This window comes from Homo sapiens, chromosome 15 (assembly GCF_000001405.40).
Source record: "Homo sapiens chromosome 15, GRCh38.p14 Primary Assembly".
In the NCBI taxonomy this organism is placed as follows: domain Eukaryota; kingdom Metazoa; phylum Chordata; class Mammalia; order Primates; family Hominidae; genus Homo; species Homo sapiens.
Window position 1 is genome coordinate 89,126,715 of NC_000015.10, and position 19,401 is coordinate 89,146,115.

The 19,401-nt window shown below is 43.4% G+C and overlaps 1 protein-coding gene and 1 pseudogene across 15 annotated transcripts in view, besides 2 other annotated features; one reads left to right on the top strand and one right to left on the bottom strand.

The window, feature by feature from the left end:
- ABHD2 (abhydrolase domain containing 2, acylglycerol lipase) overlaps positions 1 to 19,401 on the top strand; it is a 161,358-nt gene that overhangs the window by 85,717 nt on the left and 56,240 nt on the right. The window lies entirely within an intron of this gene.
- Positions 8,367 to 9,971, bottom strand: HMGB1P8 (high mobility group box 1 pseudogene 8; annotated as a pseudogene).
- Positions 12,846 to 13,347: an enhancer, noted in NCBI's record as "H3K27ac hESC enhancer chr15:89682791-89683292 (GRCh37/hg19 assembly coordinates)". NCBI's record gives its function as "activates a minimal SCP1, AML or CMV promoter by ChIP-STARR-seq in primed H9 embryonic stem cells {active_cell/tissue: H9 hESC(primed)}" and the evidence as "EXISTENCE:reporter gene assay evidence [ECO:0000049][PMID:30033119]".
- Positions 13,348 to 13,847: an enhancer, noted in NCBI's record as "H3K27ac hESC enhancer chr15:89683293-89683792 (GRCh37/hg19 assembly coordinates)". NCBI's record gives its function as "activates a minimal SCP1, AML or CMV promoter by ChIP-STARR-seq in primed H9 embryonic stem cells {active_cell/tissue: H9 hESC(primed)}" and the evidence as "EXISTENCE:reporter gene assay evidence [ECO:0000049][PMID:30033119]".

Here is a 19,401-nt window from a genome sequence, read left to right on the forward strand (position 1 = left end):
TGTCATGCAGTGATGTGGAGAGTGAAGAGCTGACGGCTGTTTACGCTTTTCTTTGTCTGAAGCAACAGTGAGTGAAGTGACTGGCTTTAGAAGCCCAGTCTTCTTCAGCAGCATCAAGAATACTTCCCTGCAAATGGAGTCTGTTTGGGATCCTGAGCTTTAGGGTCAGAATTTATTAGATGGTGTAATGTTTACTTAAGGAAAGCATTTTCCTGAGTTTATAAGGAAATCTACCCCTCCATGAAATTCTAGAAAGCTATAACTAATACAGAAGGCTGTAGTCCTTGAAGACTTGATTTTATGCATGATTGGATGAGATGCCATTGCTGTTTGCTACCCCATGACTGTCAGTAGTCAGACTGAGAAGTGCCCTCTACCAAGTACCAAGGGCCGGGTACTCCTCAGAGGCCCTCCATCTGCCTGAGGTAGCTGCCTGCAGTGTAGTATCACGGTGAGCCATGGAAATGAGTCAGCCATTGTGGCAGCTTGTGAACCACCCTAACTCTACCTGCTGTCAGTTTCTAATCATAGAGTGAGGGCTCTGGGTCAGCGTGGGTGCATGGCATCAAACCAGATGGCTTAACTTCTGAGGTAGCCATTATAAGAGTCTGTAATCCAAAACATTTGGGAACCCTGCCTGGAGATCAGTGGTTGATCCAGAACCATCTGTAGCCTCCCAGGAAGGGAGAGATTTGTGAGAAACAGCAGGTTATATGTTTTTCTACCCTTCCACTGAGTACTAATGCCATTGCCATGACCAACCTGACTTTCCTGTGATATGTAGCACCAAATCCTCCTGCTGGCAAGACCCTGAACTGGTGTTTTCAGCCAGATCACAAAAGCTTGAACAGTAATTTCTTACTGATGTAAAGTGAGAAACTCCATAAATGCTTTTTAAAATGTTGACACCTGCCAAGCCACAGCAGTATGGACTTTTCCTTCCTTGGGATTTGAATAAAGGAAGATTCTTCTCAGTGAATATATATATATACATATATATATATACACATATATATATATATATATGTATATTTTAAAAATTAGTCAATTAGTAATATTTAGTAACCTGCTCTTCCAGTCTGTTCACCGTCTGTACACCATACTCAGCCCCTTCTATATCACACACAATACTTTTTCTCACATTTCCACCTTCTCTGTCTGTCAGAATCCTCAGGCCTTCTCAAATCGTAGCTCTTCTAGTAGCTCCTGACTTTTACCTGTCTCTGTCTCATTGGCTCTTACCTAAGGACAGGGATGGAAACAATAACTTTCCACATATGTATCTCTCGTCACACCTCAAGTGTATTCTGAGAGGCTTAAGGACAGAGACTGTCTTAAAAATTCTCTGTCTTCCCTGTGGTTGCTGCTTCTTGTAGAGTCAGTACACACTAACTTCAGTAGAGTCTTTTGGTAGGAACATGTGATTGACAGAGTGAGTAATTCAGGTAAGTGATAAAGGAATTTAGAGAAAGAGGGGATATTCCTGTGGTGGCTTGACTGATGAGGTCTTCCATAATCCTGAAAGATTAGTTGGCTTTGGATAGATGGGACAATAGGAGAGAAGGCACAGATGTTGGTGTGAGCATGAACCAGTAAAATCAATTATTTAAACAAGCACTCATGGCAGAAAACTGGCTTTGCTGCCCAGGCCAACACTTTTCACCCATCCACCTTTGTCCTTTTGTCCTGTGGGCCTTCCAACCAGTCAGCAGGATAAGAAGGTGGTAGAGGCCTTGCTGCCATTGACACATATCCACGTTGTCAATGCTTTGCCGTCACCACAGCTACTCTATTCTTGTCTCCTAATTCCATGGATCTTCATTTGGCTAGACTTTGATTGTCTCTCTTGTAACTCCCAAAAATGATCTTGGTGCTGCTTGCATCATGTTTGGCCCTGCTACCCAGTCTGCCCTTTGCTCACTGTGCCCTTTGATTTTGTTTGCTAATGGGTTTTGGGCCCCATCACTGGTCTGGTCTCTATAGTTGCTTCGTGGCCAGCTCCTCACCAGGTCCCTATGCCACGATCTGGTGAGCTGAGAGCTGTTTGATTGTAGCAGAGAGCCCTATGGTCTGTGGGGGGGAGGAAGAGGAGATCAGATCACGAGGAGTCTCTAATTCCCAGAGAGGAAGAGTTTGGGCTTGATCCTGTGAGCACTGGTGGTAGGTGGTTGGAAAGGGAAGGATGGGACAAATTCCAGAGGTCTTCTAAGGTGGAATCAGTGGTATTGGTGGGTAATGGAATGGCCTTGGGCATCAGAGGAAAGGGCTGAATCACAGATTATGCTGAGGTTACTGAGCGGTTGAGAGAATAGAATCATTGACAGAAATAGGGAAGTCTAATGGGGAAGCTGCTTTCTCAAGGAAAGTTGTTTAGCTTGGGGCTTGTCCACAGGATGTGCACAGGGTTATGTGCAATTATGGCATTAGAACTTAGGTGGGAGCTCAAGACCAGATGTGTAGATTCCAGATCAGCTGCAGGTAGGGGAGGTTGTGGGGGTGGGCAGAGAGAGACACTAAAGACTGATGGCTGAGGCAGGCCATGGCTAGGGTGGAAGAGACAGAGACAGGCAGTAAGAAAGGTAGGGAGAGAACCAGCAGCCTCCAGTTCCATGGCAGCCAGAGAAGGAAAACATTGAAGAGGGTGTCAGAAACTCAGGAAGAATGAGGGCTGACCAAAGGCCATCTACCTTGGCCAGAAAGGATCAGGGATTTTTGAGAATGTGTTTTCAGGAGTGAGGTGAATAAACAGGTCAGCACAATAGCAACCAAAGAAGTGAGTCAGGAAACAAACACCAGAGAAGGAAGGAGAAAAAATGGAAACTGGAGGAGAAAGCCAAATTGATTGAAGGTTTTTCCCCTAAGATTGAGAGGGTAAATCCAGGGGCCCAAGTGAGAGGGTGAAGTTAGCGAGCTGTTGCCCCCCGGGAATCCAGAGTCCAGATCAGCAGTGAGACCCACCTGGGCTCAGATGCCAGCCCTGCCCCCTGCTGGCCAGTGGCTTCACCTTGCCGAGCTTCTATTTCCTCATTTGTAAGATGGGTATAATAGCACTTATTTCATAGGTTCAGTATGCTGATTAAAAAAAAAAAAAGAACAGCATGTAAGATGATTTATAGGATACTTGGCATGTGTAAGAGTTCAGTAAATATAGCTGCTATTATTGTAGCTATTTTTATTTTAATATTATCAGCTAGATCAGTTGTACAAATAGCAAAAGACATAATGTACACGAAGGTCACACAAGCACACCTGAATGTCAGTAGGACATCAGTGGGTAAGTGGGTAAAAGATGTGCCTAGATAAATTCCACATAAGGAAATACATGTAATAAGCACCTCATAATGTTAAGACTTGGTAACAATGAAGCCTTAAAACATGAAATATTATTTGATATTCAGAGGAAAATATGGCAATATTGTCAAAATTATATTAAGTTGGACATCGTATTAGTCGAAGTAAACTAGTTTATACTGTGGTAACTAATTACCTCTAAACCTGCACATCTTAAAGCCACAAATGTTTATTTCTCACTCATGCTACGTGTTTATTTCAATGGGCAGGAGGGCTCTGCTGATTGTCATCCCACCAGGACCCCAGCTGATGGAGGTGACATCTCAACACCTGCTTCCGTGGTCATCACCGAGCCAGGAAGAGCAATGTCACACCTCACACACTGGCTCTTACAGGCTGCTACCGGAAATGGCACTTGGTCATTTCCTTTCCCATTTCATTGGTTTGGGTGTCCAAGGGAGATAATACAGTCATGGGTTCTCAGTTTCTGTTTCTGGTTGGTCCGGTAAAGCCCCTTCCTCATCCCTGTTTTTTGCTTATCACTAGAGACAGAAACTACAAACCATGGCTTTAGGCTGCTAAAAGCCTACAAAAGAAACAGAACAATAACAACAAAATAAGGCAGGTTGGACAAGCTTGAGAGCTTGTCCAGCCCATAGCCCACAGACTGCATGTGGCCTGGGACAGCTTTGATTGCAGCCCAACACAAATTCATAAACTTTCTTAAAATATTATGAGATTTTTTGTGTGATTTTCTTTTTCTTTTAGTCCATCAGCTGTCATTAGTGTTAGTGTATTTTATGTGTGGCCCAAGACAATTCTTCCAAAGTGGCCCAGGGAAGCCAAAACATTAGACACCCCTGGTTTAAAGCAAGGCTCGTGCCCATGCCTAACTTGAGAAGCAGCACACCTGTGTCCAGAGAAGAGGAGAATAATCATGGCCACAGGCAGCAGCCTGTGTCACGTGGGCCTCCTTCCTTCTGTCCTTCACTCCATCTCTCCTTCAGTGCCTCTGCTTCACTGCAGGACGTCATCAGCTTTCACCTGGAAGAATGCAATAGCTTTCCCTCCATTCTCTACCCTTTCTAATTGATCTTGCAGGCCACCAAATTATCTTCCTAAAGCACAAATTCATCATGCCATGCCCCTGCTTTAAACCAAGTGGCTCCTCACTGTCTGTAGGGCGAGGTCCAGCATCAGCCCTCGCTCCTTCTTCCCTATATTCCTTGTGTTCTAGACACATCAGATCTCTCCACATTTTCTCATACTGCATGTTCTCTCTTGACTATGTCTTACATTTGCAATGCCTTCTACCTGGAATCCCTTCATACCTCCACACAGCCTCTTTATTTGAGAGAACATAATCACCTTCTTTCTGATGAATGCTTTCTGGACATTTATGGTTCTCTTCTCTGTTGTCTGATAGCATCTGGTGTGGCCTTGGGATCTAGGACCCAGCAGAGAGGTGAAGGGGCAGGATGGGAAGCCCTTCCAGAGGGGAACAGGCACAGGGACTCCTCAGTGGTGTGTCCAAGAAAAAGCAAAACTGGTTTCTGACTATTGAGAGACTAACAGGTCCCCTAGAGTCTGGAGACAAATTGATGATTGGCACATAGAAAACTAAGCTGATGAGGAAATGATAAAAGTGATAACTTGAGGGAAAATAAAAAATTTCACAAAAAAGAATACAACATATGACTTCTTTGTGGCTAATATTTCCATAATTATAATTTTATAAACACTGAAAATTAACCATAAGTGTTGCTGTAACAGTGTTGAAAAGAATGGGCGAGGGGAAAATGTAAGTCTTAGGAGAGACGTAAGAGAGCTAGCACCCTCCAGAGTAGGAAGTTCAATAGGTGCTATTGAAAACTGAAATTGAAGAACCAGCATAAGCAGGATAAGCATGGCATTAAGAAATAAAGGCAAGTGTGGGATGGTAGGGACGACTAAAGGAGTTAAGAATAGTCATCTCTCAGGGGCAGGAGTCAGGAGACAGATGAGGCATCCTGTTGGACTTTTTAAACAGGAGTTGAAAAACATGAAAAAAAAATTCAAGAAAGATGAAAACAAAATATGTAAAGATGTTTTGCTGGCATTGTTTATTATAGTAAAAACTGGGAATAGCAGCATCCAACAATGGAGGCAGCAGCAAGATAATGCAGGGGAAAGAAAGAGCTGTCGGGTCAGACACACACAGAGTTCAAATGCAGGGTCCGCTGTGCAGTAGGCTGTTGGACACTCAGTTTCTGTCTGTAAAGGGGGTCCTAATAATAAGAATCGCTGTAAGGGACAAATTGAATTATGTAACATGCCCATAGAAGGGGCTAAATAAATGTTTGCTCCCTCCCTTAACTATAGCTAATAAACAGGATAGAATTTTATGCAGACGTTCAGAACTTAGCATACTAATTATCTATAAAAATAGAGAATAAGTGAAAAAAGCAGAAGACAATTATATATCTCTATCTGAGCACCATTGTTGTAACTATGTAAATACTCTGCTTTCAGATAGATATAGATGAAAAGGAAACAAAAATGAGAATATTTTTGCAAGGCTTGTGAGGATATGGGTGATTTTTAAGCTTCTAATTTCTTATAGCTATTTCAAATTGATATGAAATTAAGAGGACTCTGAATATGCATTTCATCTTTCATAGTTTTGAAAGCCATTATCTTGTTCATTCCTAATAATAAGCAGTGACACCAGCACTGTCCTTTGCATTTGTCCTTTATATGTAAAGAGAGATGGACTTTGCTTTAGTAGGACTTTCTAGAACATGCTTATCTGCATGGTTTGGTGGCGCTCTCTCACTTTGTGGACAAGATGAAGGTCTGGTGCCTAAGCTGGGGTTTCTCAAGGATGGAGTTGTTGACCATCTGAGAAAATGTTTTCCTGTGCCCACATACCGTAGGGGAGGGCTGCCATTTCAACAGGGCTAACCCACAGCCATCAACAGTGGCTTCTATCAGCTTTTTGTAACTGTTCCTCTGACGGAAAGCTCCAGGGCAGCTGCATCATTTCCTTCCTCTTACATTTGTGCTCAAGGCTCACCCTGGTCAAGAAGCCTGGCTGCATTTCCCAGAGGTTCTTTTATCAGCCAGTAGAACCTATGACCTTGTACCCTCCGTGTTGCCCTTGCTGTCAGTCGGCTCTTGTTTATCCTTCCATCTTTTCTTTGTGAAATATCACTCAGAGATTTGTCCATAGGAGTGCTGAAAGAGCTTCCTCCATTTATGTCTTGACTGCTTCGTATTCCATAAAAAAATAGTTTGTTTAACCAGTCTCCTAGATAGAGGTTTCCTTTATTTGTAATCTTTTGCTTTCACAATGTTGCATTGAATGCTTCTGTATTTTCATCACGATGCGCACCTGTCAGTATAGGATAAACTCCTAGAGGTGGAACTACTGGGTCAAAGGGGATGTGCATGGAAAATTTTGCTAGCTGTTGTCCTCAAGCCTCTCCACACCAGCACTGTGAGCACATTTCCCCAAAACGTTGCCAACATCAGGAGTTCTACTTTTTGATATTTGCCAATCTGGTAGGTGAAAAATGTTTTCTCACTGTGGTTTTAATTAGTCTTTCTTTGATTAAAGAGACTGTGTATCTTTTCATATTTTAGAACTCTTTTTATTTCCTTTTCTGTTCACTGCCTGTTGGTGGCCTCTAACCATTTTTCTGATGGTCATTGGTCTTTTTCCTAATCATTTGAGGGAGCTCTTTATGTACTAGGGAAATTAGCCCTTTGTGATATGAATTGCAAATATTTGTTCTCAGTTTGTCATTTGTCTTTTGACTTTGCCCATAGTGGTATTTGCCATGCATAATTTTTTTTTTTTTTTTTTTTGAGACAGAGTCTCGCTCTGTCACCCAGGCTAGAGTGCAGTGGCGTGATCTCGGCTCACTGCAAGCTCCGCCTCCTGGGTTCACACCATTCTCCTGCCTCAGCCTCCTGAGTAGCTGGGACTACGGGTGCCTGCCACCACGACCGGCTAATTTTTTTTGTATTTTTAGTAGAGACGGGGTTTCACCATGTTAGCCAGGATGGCCTCGATCTCCTGACCTCGTGATCCTCCCGCCTCAGCCTCCCAGAGTGCTGGGATTACAGGCGTGAGCCACGGCGCCCGGCCGCATAATTTTTTTTAATGTTTGCATAATTAAATTTTTCAATTGTTTCTTTTGTGGCTTCTGGGATTTCTGGTTTCCTTAGAAAGGTCTTCTTCACTGCAAGATTATTTTTAAAAGCCTAGAATTTCTTCTAGCATATGAATGATTTCATTTTTATTTTGAAATGTTTCATCCTTCCAGAATTTATCCTGGTGTGAGGTGTGGCTCCAACATAATTTTTTTCAAGACGGCTACACTTTGTCCAACACTATTAAACAATCCATCTTTACCCCATTATTCAAATGCCACCTTTTTCACCAACTAAATTTCCTGGATGTATTTAGGCATATTTCCAGTCTTTTGTGTTCTGTTGATGGTCCTGAACATATACCATCAGCAGATTGCAGCTTTGTACTATGTTTTGCTGTGGGCAGTGGGGCGATGCTCATACCCCAGCACTGCTTGTTTTCATACTTTTCTTGGCTATTATAGCTGGTTCATTTTTCCAAATGAACTTTAGAATGCTTGTTTAATTCCACATATAAAAATCTTATTATTTTTATTGTGTATCTCTTAAGTTTATAGGTAATTTAGGGAAAATTGACATGTTTGTGATGCCAAGTTTTCCAGTGCAAGTTCATTTATTCAAGTCTTTGAGCCCGAAAGAGCATTATAAAGTTTTCTTATCTCCTTTTCTTGATTGTGAACTCCCTGGGAGCAAGAATGGGGTCAAGTTTTGAGTATGGCTTATTAGTAATGATCTATATAATTACTGACAAAAGAAACATAATTTTCATTAAATATTTGTAGAACCTACTTTTTCCTAACATCATTGCTTGCCATTTTATGAGTTGTTTTCTGCACATCAAAGAAAGGCAAGATGTAGTACAAATGCTGATGTCAAATGTCAGCATTTTAATCCTTAAAGTCATCTCTTGATTGGTGTGTTCTTTCTTTATTTATTTTTAATAAAAAATTGTATTTGCTTAGAAGCATTCAGAATGTCAACAAAATGGCTACAACTTTTTCTTTTTTTTTTTTTTTTTTGCAATTACAGAGTGGTATTCACTTAACAACAGTCATTTTATATAAGCTGCATCAGAGACAACTGAAGATGAAAAAACTACCATCCCCATATATAACTAATTTGTGCCATGCACTAACAAGAACCTGCTTTTAATTTCCATGCCAGTTTACAATCCCCATACTGTACTAGGCAAGGTTGGTGGCTATTGAAAATACCACCAGGACAGGGATATCTAAAGACACATTTGGTAGTGTGTTAACTATACAAAAAAAAAAAGACATTGTACAGTTTAAAAACAAATCTTACACAGCCTTACATTTCAGTTTTTTTCTTTAAAAGGAGTGAGTTATGTACAGGTTAAATGCTTTATAGACGAGAAAAAAAACTACACTAGAACCAACTTATTCATCATCATCTTCATCTTCCTCCTCCTCATTCTTATCCTCTTCATCTTCCTCATCTTCCTCCTCTTCCTTCTTTTTCTTGCTTTTTTCAGCCTTGACAACTCCCTTTTTTTGCTGCAGCAGGCTTTCCTTTAGCCCGATATGCAGCAATATCCTTTTCTTACTTTTCCTTCAGCTTCGCAGCCTTCTTTTTATAAGGCTGCCTGTCATCTGCAGCAATGTTATTCCACATCTCTCCCAGTTTCTTTGCAACATCATTAGTGGACAGGCCAGATGTTCTCCTTTGATATTTGGGCGATACTCAGAACAGAACAGAACAGGACAGAACAGAACAGGAAGAAGGCCGAAGGAGGCCTCTTGGGTGCACTGGGATCCTTTAACTTTTTTTTTTTTCTTTTGAGATGGAGTTTCCCTTTTGTTGCCCAGGCTGGAGTGCAATGGCGCAATCTCAGCTCACTGCAACCTCTGCCTCCCAGGTTCAAGCGATTCTTTTGCCTCAGCCTCCCGAGTAGCTGGGATTACAGACGCCCGCCACCATGCCTGGCAATTTTTTTTTTTTTTTCAGTAGAGACGGGCTTTCACTGTCTTGGCCAGGCTGGCCTCGAACTCCTGACCTTAGGTGATCTACCCGCCTCAGCCTCCCAAAGTGCTGAGATTACAGGCGTGAGCCACCACACCCAGCCTGAACGTCTTTTTTGTCTCCCCTTTAGGAAAGATACAGGTTTTCGTTTCTCTTTCGTATGGGCCCTGTCTGCCTTTGCCATATCTTCGAATTTTCCTTTCTGTTTAGTAGGCATGGTCTTCCACCTCTCTGAGCACTTCTTAGAAAACTCTGAGGAGTTGACTGAAGCATCTGGATGTTTGTTCTTATGTGCCTCCCTACAAGTTTGCACAAAAAATGCATATGATGGCATTTTCTCTCTTGGCTTCTTAGGGTCTCCTTTGCCCATGTTTAGTTATTTTTCCTCAGCAAGGCACAGAATTGCCCAGTGCCCATCTGGCTCTCACTTGCCCCAGTGCTATCTCTATGGAGCTCATTGTACTGCAATGGCTGTGATATCGGGAGCCAGGTGCAGCCTCCTCACTCTCTCCGCTCTATAACATTGCTCTCCAGCCAGCGCAGCTCCTAGTTGATTAGCGTGTTCTTAAAAGAGCATTCTGTGTAGGTAATCCAGGGGCTTCACATTTAGGTATTTGAGTTTTCCTCCACTAGGAATAGTGGCAAATATAATGTGATTTTCCAGCTCTAATCTTCCCTCCCCATAACGCTGGCACAGATTTTGAGGTAGCCTTGGCCTGGGAAGTAGCCAAAAGGCACTGTGTTGGACAAAGAGCAGACCATTGGCATCTATGTGCATGTCCTCAGGAGAGAGGTGACTAGGCAGATGGGGACAAGACACGGGTGCTCTGTGTTCTGAGCGTCAGCGTACATCCTGTTTGGTTAGCACAGAGTGAGTCTGGGAACTTTGCACTTAGCACCTTGGCAGCCCAGGTCTGGGAATAGTGGTGCCTTCTCCTAAAGTTAGGTCACTAATCTTTGACTGGCTGTTTGCAGGACCAGTTCTCTAACGGATCCAGGGTTCCAGTGGAACCCTGGAGACTGGAACTCTGGAGCTTCTTAATAAACTGCCTCCCTACTTAAAGCATGGTGTCAAAACCAGGTTGAAATGCAACGTGAGGAGAGAGGACTGTGCTTTGGTGTGCCTAGGGAGGATGTGACCAGTTCCGCGTGCTGTTTGTGAACAGGAAGATAGTGGGATCAGATGCATTTAACATGTGGATACAGTTCTGAGGGGTTTTAACTGGTTTTCTTTGAACTTTAGAAAAGCACATTTATTTTTCCTTGGAGCAAAAAAGTAGTTTCTTTTTAAGTGGTTTTATTGTAACTCATGGGGCTGTTCTCCTAACATTCATATTTTATAGTTTGCACGATATGCACAAAGGTCACAGATGTACCAGCCTGGCCCAGTGGCCTCCGTCCTGTATTTAGAAACCAGTTCGGGAACGGAAGAGGATTGCTCTTTTGTTTCCTCAGGCCACTTTTGGTCATTTCAGGCAGAAACAGTCTCTGCATTGGAATTTTCCTGTGCAGATCCTGCAATTCAGGAATAGAGCATTTAGCAACAACAGTGAAAATGTAATGTGTGACAGCTGTGGAGAAGAATTTGCCTCCAGTGAGGGGAAAATGCTGTGTTCAAAGTGGATTTCTGATGAGCCTATTAATGGGTGTTTGGGAAGCTGAATATGTTGCTGCCATTTTGAGATGAAAGGCCCAAGGTGTTTGTTCCTGAAGCTAATGAGGAAGCCCTTTCCCAGCCTCAGCCTTACCTCCCCAGTAGGACTGGTGAGATGTGCACACAGGGTCTACTCCACATCTGGCCCTCCTGAAAAGAAGGGCTTCCAGTGGGGGCTGTGTCCTAGTGGAGAAGGGTGAAGCCCAGTGGGATGGGCTCACGAAGGACCTGCTGTTGACCTGCTGGCTTCAGGTCCACCAGGCTAGGGGTAGATAGGCCAGAAAAGAAACCAGAGGTGTCTGTGGTAGGAGCAGCAAGGGCCCTGGCTTCCAGGCCTGTGGAGCAGGGAGGCTCTGGCAGTTCAGGATCTGGAAAAGAACTGACAAAATGTTCTCCTAAACTCTGGCCCTTGCCGGCTTCCTTACCTTTCCTGTGTGCACACACATGCATGCACATGCACATGTGCACACACAGGAAGGCCTGGAACTCAGTTTGCAGACTCGTGGAGCTGCCACAAAGCTTCACTCCCAGTGTTTCCCCCACCACTGATGCTTGTCCTCCTGGGTTTATTCTCACCCATGAAAGTAGGGTAAAAATGTATCCCCAAATCAAACACCTGTCACCTTTCTAGAAGCACTTCCATCCTCTCTTGCTCTCACTGTCATCGCTCTCCTGGATCTTTGGGGAGATATTCAGTATGATTTTGTTAACATTCTGGCCTTATCTTAGAGATAATTAAATGTGAATATTCAAATTAATTAGCCCCCAGATGTATCTTCTGCAGAAAAAAACTCCTCTAACAAGAAGTCAGTTACAGTTGTGAGAAACATGCAAAACGAAAGAAATGTTTTTTTTCAAAGACCTGTGAAGACCACTGTAGAGAAGCTCCAACAAATTCAGTTTTCAATTTGAAGAAACATTATTTAATATAGAACATTTTGACAGTTGATCAGACAGGAGAAAATAGGCACAAAGCTGTTATTTTAACTTCTGGTTGGGGGAGTTGATGAGTCTTGAGTGTGATAAAGTAAGGAACGCTTTGGACTGAATCAGAGACCTGTCCTCTAATCCTAGCTTTTTTTTTTTCTTTTTTTTTCCTCATTTTTAAAACGGGGAAGACACCATTGCTCAGAATTGTGAAGATTAAGCTAGAAGGCCGGGCAGGATGGCTCACTTCTATAATTCCAGCACTGTGGGAGGCTGAGGTGGGAGGATTGCTTGAGCCCGGGAGATCAAGACCAGCCCTGGCGACATAGCAAGACCCTGTCTCTACAAAAAAAAATTAACTGGGCATGGTGGCATGTGCCTGTGGTCCCAGCTACTCAGGCGGCTGAGATGGGAGGATTGCTTGAGCATGGGAGGTTAAAGCTGCAGTGAGCCGTAGTTGTACCACTGCACTCCAGCCTGGGTGACAGAGTAAGACCTTGTCTCTAAAAATAAGTAAATAAATAAACTAGAGACATGACTCACCCAGCTCCTGATGGAGAGATTTGGTGCTCAGAAATATCTCTCCTCTCTGAGATCTTGGTACTCCCCATGATGCACTAAGTGAAATTGGTACTTCTCAGCCTCATGATTGTCTCCCCATAGTATCATCCTATTCTATCTCTCTGACCCCATTGCCCACCGCTCCTGTCTGTGACAGTAGCTGCCTGTGTATTCATCATGCATCCTACCTTCAGATTACGAATGCCACCAGGGCGGTCACTGTGTCCGGCTCTAATCTCTGTATGCCTCACAGCACTCGTATTTGTTGAATTTTATTAAATCAATATATAAGAGCCAAAATAAAATATAGGTAGAGGCAGGTTCGGACCTGATAACATCTTTGGTTTGGCCCCAGGTGCCAGCAGCACACTCCTAGTTGGGCATCCTCAGTCCATGTTGTCACTCTGAAAACAAATCTGTTTGTCAGAGTAAAGGTCACCTTTTTTTCTCAGTGGACAAATATTTTTTTCTGAAATGAAAAATTTGCTTTTCTTCCCTTGAGTGTGTGCACTCAAGTAAGCAGAGTGGAGGGCCTGTGAAGATGGGCATTCTCTCTGGAAACTGAGGAAACATCCCGAGCCTATGTCTCCTAACAGTCTTGGCACCTAACTAGAATCTGACCGGAGTTTCAGCACGCAGCCAGCAGAGGACATCACCAGCCATTTGAGTGTGCAGTTGTCTGGAGCAGCCACGCAGCAGGTCTCTGTAGCCCTGATGGAGAGAGTTTTCTTCTTGGGAGGGCTTCCCAGGATGATGTAACACCTCTGCGTTTTGCCTCAGTGGCTGAAGAGTCCCTTTGGACTTGGGTTTTGCAGAAAGAGAGGGGAGTCTGAGGGCAGAGTGTAAAGTGACACAGCCGGTGTGTAGAGCTGAGCAGCCTGTGTTAGGAACAGTCAGAGCCTGTGGACTTGTGAGGCTTCCACTCACGTGCTATGTTAGCAGTTCTTTTCCTCAAGCTCTACTGAAAGACCTGTGGACCTGACATTTTATGGTCACAAGCCCTGGAGAAGATAGCCATTCATTTTGCTGGATGACCTTTTAAATAAACCTCTAGAGTAAGTTCCAGGCAAATACTGGAGGTGGCTGTGTTTGCCCAACAGAATCCAGCAAAAACACTTCTCTGTGCTTGAAATTCCTTCTTGTACCTGATGCTTTGGAATTTAGGCAGGTGATAAATTAAAGATGAATTTCTTCTTTTTTTTTAACGTTACAATATAGTTAGCTATTATCTTGATATGCTTTCTAATATATAATGGAGTTACATATGTACATTTAACTTATGCAAATTCAACTCTACAGATTGAGAGAGAGACCCCCACACACACACAGACACACACATACACACACCACCTTATTTGTGCTGACCCTTCTGCCAGCTTCTCCATTCAAAGGAGCACAGGCCCCCCCTGTGTGTGATCTGGGAGCCTCACGTCACCTCTGCTGGTACCAGGGCCTGTGTGTCTCTCCTGCGAGAGAGAGCACCTTACTGTATCTTCACGTTTAAAGATGTGTTTTTGTTTTCCATTTCCTTTGTTTCACAACATGGCCTTAACCTCAAGCCACCAGTGCCATCTGTGCTTATCCACAGCCCCAGCCATCTTCGTGGCACTGAGGGAGAACTGCCTGGCTCCCTTTGCCCAGAGACAGTGTGTTACTAAGGGATGCTCAGGGCATAACTTTATTATAGTTAATAGTTTAGTTTCACTTTTTTTTTTTTGTTGGACAGAGTCTTACTCTGTCACCCATGCTGGAGTGCAGTGGCCCGATCATAACTCACTGCAGCCTTGACCTCCTGGGCTCAAGTGATCCTCTTAACTCAGCCTCCCAAATAGCTGGGACCACAGGCATGTGCCACCACACCCAGCTAATTAATTAATTAATTAATTAATTTTTTGGTATAGATGAGGTCTTCCTATGTCACCCAGGCTGGTCTCAAACTCCTGGCCTCAAGCAGTCCTCCCACTTGGCCTCCCAAATTGCTGGGATTACAGGCATGAGCCACCACACCCAGCCTGACAGTTTCGCCTTTTAACTTGAGAACCAAGCTGCGGGCGACATGTGACCCCACTATAAAAACAGAACGGCCAGGCACTGTGGCTCACACCTGTTAATCCCAGCACTTTGGAAGGCCGAGGTGGGCAGATCTCTTGAGGTAAGGACTTCAAGACCAGCCTGGCCAACATGGTGAAATCCCATCTCTGCTAAAAATACAAAAATTAGCCAGGCATGGTGGCGTGCGCCTGTAACCCCAGCTACCCAGGAGGCTGAGGTGCGAGAATCGCTTGAACCCGGGAGATGGAGGCTGCAGTGAGCAGAGATCACGCCACTGCACTCCAGCCTGGGCAACTCTGTCTCAAAAAAAAAAGTTAAAGCAGGAAGAGGGGAAGAGGGAGTTACTCCTGAGTGATCCCCCTTTGTTGTGACTAGTGTTGTTTAGTACTTGCCTGAGCCCCAGAACTTGGTCTCTTTACCCTTTCTCCTGTTTAGTGCCAGCTTCTGGCTTGGAAGCCCACGTTGACCAGCTCCTCAATAAACAGATTTCTATCAGGAATATCTACCAGGGTTCTCCGTGTTGCTGAAAAGCCCCTAGTTCAAGATAACCTTTAAAATGGCCAGCATCAGAATATATACATGCTAATTTGATATATTTTTAAAGGTAGAGGTTGGCTGTTGACGACTCCAGATATGTTTGGTCTCATCACATTGGTTCTAGATAACTAATATTTTTAAAGGATGACTAATAGACTCATAGGAGTCTCTAGAATGAAAGCATCTGTCTGTCCTTATCATGTTTGTTTTATCATCCAAATAAGCCCTGGACGCAGTGGCCAAGGCCCCAGTTGAAGTCTCAACCCTGCTCTTGACTAGCAGTGTGAATGTGGCCAAGCCATGAACTCCCTAGCCTCAGGATCCCTGTGGTAAAGTGGGGTTAACAGTATCTGCCCATTTCACAAAATTGTCATTGAAGGCAAATGAGATCATTTTAAAAAGGACTTTGAAAAACTATGAAGTGCTGTATAGATAAATAAAATAGCAGTTTTATTTATTATGCCGTGTTCAAAGAAAAAAGGTAAATAAATTCTTGATGCTAGAACCACTGAGATTAGTACCTCAAACATCCTTGACTTCCTTTGTTAAAGAGCTTGGGGGGACATCCTTAATGTTTCTGAAGTTGCAAAGGGAGAGGCCCCAGGTTTCACTCCGGGTGACATAATTTCTTTGCTGTAGTAAGATTCCAGTGGCATTTGCCTTAGCATGTATCTCGTTCTTGCAGCTAAATTAGAGCACGGTAACTATTTCCTCTCATTCCTTTTTAATCTGTGAAATCATGAGCCTTACTCTTGCCTTGTTAAGGAGGAGAAGCCAGACTACTCAGAGGACCCCCACGGAGCTCCTCAGCAAGTGGCCTGCCCAGCCTTCCCCTCCACAGCCCCTGAGCCATCACCACATTTGGGATCTTCTTCTCCACCCAGTTCCTTACTTTTCAGCTCATATCGTCACATTTATTGGTCTCAAGTCTCTTGTCTTGGGTTGGGCTGGGAAGGAGGAACATGCAGGAACGGAATACCAGTCGGATTCTAGCCTCCTGCGTTCCCATTGAATGCAGGAGGGGTTGAACCCAGTGACATTTTGAATATAAATATTTTCATCAGAGTTAGGCTAACATTAAAGAATTTTTCTTTGGGAAAATATTTTCTAAAACAAAGTCTGCTGAGCCAATTCGATTCCATGATGAGTTTTTTTTTAATACAATACAGTTAAATTTTATCTTCATCAGGGTTGTTTTCCATTTAAATTTACTACAAAGACTGGAGTCATTAATCGTTTTTTTGTCCGTGTCATATATTATGACCATAGCTTCTGCTATAGCAAGTTCTCTTGCGGCTGTTAGTTCCACCAAGTCCAATTCTCTAAGTTCAATTTTACAGGTCTAAATGTTTTTATGAAAACTAGATTCTTCTGTCAATTTTTAGACAATCCCAGTATTCAATTTACCACATGCAGTTTTAACTATTGCCAGTTTTATTATCAGTTGATTCTTTGAACGAACCACTGGGAGATAAACAGGAGACTGATAGTATATATTTATCAACTAATTCATTTTTTAAAAAAAGTGTGGCCAAGTGCGGTGGCTCACGCCTGTAATCCCAGCACTTTGGGAGGCCGAGGCGGGTGGATCACCTGAGGTCGGGAGTTCAAGACCAGCCTGACCAACATGGAGAAACCCCGTCTGTACTAAAAATACAAAATTAGCTGGGCATAGTGGTGCATGCCTGTAATCCCAGCTACATGGGAGGCTTAGGCAGGAGAATCGCTTGAACCCAGGAGGCGGAGGTTGCAGTGAGCCGAAATTGCACCGAGCTGAGATTGCGCCATTGCACTCCAGCCTGGGCAATAAGAGCAAAACTCCATCTCAAAACAAAAAAAAAAAAATGTGATTAATTTTAGACATAGAGATGAAAATAGAGATAGAGTAGAAGGAAATGGCCTCAAGTCAAAAGGGGATGTTCAAGATCATTAGTCATAAAGGAAATGCACATCAAAACCACCAAGAGATGCCACTTCACACCCACTAGGATAGCTATAGTAATTTCTTTTCAATGGACAACAGCAACTGTTGGTGAGGATATGGAGAAATTGGGACTCTTGTATGTTCCTGATTGGGAATATAAAATGGTACAGCTGCTGTGGGAAAAAGTTTGGAGTATCCCCAAAAAGTTAAACATAGAATTGCCATATGACCCAGAAATTCCACTTCTGGGACACAACCCAGAGAATTGAAAACAGATGTTCAAACAAAAGCCTGTACATAAATGCTCACAGCAGTGCTATTCACAATAGCCAAAAATTGGAAACCATCCAATGTCTTTTTTCTTTTTTTTTGAGATACGGTCTCACTCTGTCGCCCAGGCTTTAGTGTAGTGGCACAATCTCAGCTCACTGCAACCTCCGCCTCCTGGGTTCAAGCAATTCTCCTGCCTCAGCCTCCCGAGTAGCTGGAATTACAGGTGTGTGCCACCATGCCTGGCTAATTTTGTATTTTTAGTAGGGATGGGGTTTCACCATGTTGACCAGGCTGGTCTCAAACTCCTGACCTCAAGTGATCTGCCTGCCTTGGCCTCCCAAAGTGCTGGGGTTACAGGCGTGAGCCACCACACCGGGCCTACCATTCAGTGTCTATAACTGATGAAAAAATAAACAAAATGTGGTATATTCATACAATGAAATACTATTCAGCCGTAAAAAGGAATGAATTACTGATAACATGTTGCAGCATGGATGACTCTCAAAACATTATGCTAAGTGAAAAATCCCAAGACAAAAGGTCACATGTTGATAATTCTGTTGATAAGAAATATACAGAATATGTCAACCTACAGAGACAGAGAGCAGATTAGTGGTTGCCAGGGAATGGGAGACGGAGAAAATGGGAAGTGACTGCTTCATGCATACAGGCTTTCCTTTTGCAGTGATGAAATATTCTGGAACTAGATAGAGGTGATGAGTGCCCAATATTTTGAATGTATTAAATGCTACTGAATTGTAGACTTTAAAATGTTATATGTATTTTACCTCAAAAAAGTCGTGGGGACAAAGTGATGAATTCAAAATGTGTTACTGTGCTTTAAGACCAGTAAAGATCATTGACCAGGAGTCTTAGAAACTCTACTTTCCTAGATGTCTTCTTGAAAAAACAACTCCAGTAGGCCGGGCACAGTGGCTCACACCTGTAATCCCAGCACTTTGGGAGGCCAAGGCAGGCAGATCACTTGAGGTCATGAGTTTGAGACCAGCCTGGCCAACATGGTGAAACTCCATCTCTACTAAAAATATGAAATTAGCCAGGCGTGGTGGCAGGTGCCTGTAATCCCAGCTACTCCAGAGGCTGAAGCAGCAGAATCACTTGAACCCAGGAGGTGAAGGTTGCAGTGAGCCGAGATGGTGCCATTGCACTCCAGCCTGGGCTACAGAGTGAGACTCCATTGCAAAAACGAAACAAAACAAAACAAAAAAACACTTCAGCCCTTTTGTGTGCTCAGATTTGCTTTTAGAAAATGGATGCATGGAGAGAAGAAAACAACATTTAAGGAGATTACCTGTTTCTCCTGTTTCTTATGTACATTGTGTTGCAGGTAAAGCAGATGCTCAAATAAATACATTTGAGAAGTATGTGAAATGCCAAGAGTTGGGGACAGGGACAGAAAGATGAGCCTTCAGAAGAACTAGATGGGAACATGATGGTTTAATGTGGGCCGTGGGGTATCAGGGCAGTAAAGAAGCCTCTTGAATCAAAGACAAGCCCAGCTCAAAACCTTTCAGGGGACGTCTGTCCCCTTCTGGCTGCCTAGCATTCATTCTTCCTTTCTAAGGGCATACAAATTTCCCCTTGGGGAAGTTCTTCTCTCCCACTGCATGCAGGTAATAAATCAAAGTGTGTCGCCCACCCACTCTGAAATTGAAGGCATCCCTTTTAGTTGCCGTACTCCTGGGACATTGACCTTTGAGTAGGGTGGGGGGACACTGGTACTAATGGTGTAAAAAGCACATCCCTGGAACAGCCCCCTGGTTTCTTTCTTGGATCCTGCCCTCATTTCACGCCTGGTTCTCCAGCCTCTTTTCCATTTAGTAGGCACCCCAGTGTCCTTCTGTGTACTCCTTTCTTAAGTTAGTCAGAGTTGGGTTTTGTTGCTTTAAGCAATGCATCCTATCTGACAGAAACTTCAAATGCTGAGGAGTAGCTGCTGATGGGCATTTTGTTCACTGGAAAGGACTTGCTGCAACTTGCTGAGATGTGAGGACTCAATCTCAGGCAACATATCCTAAACATCTAGTGTGTGCCAAGTCCT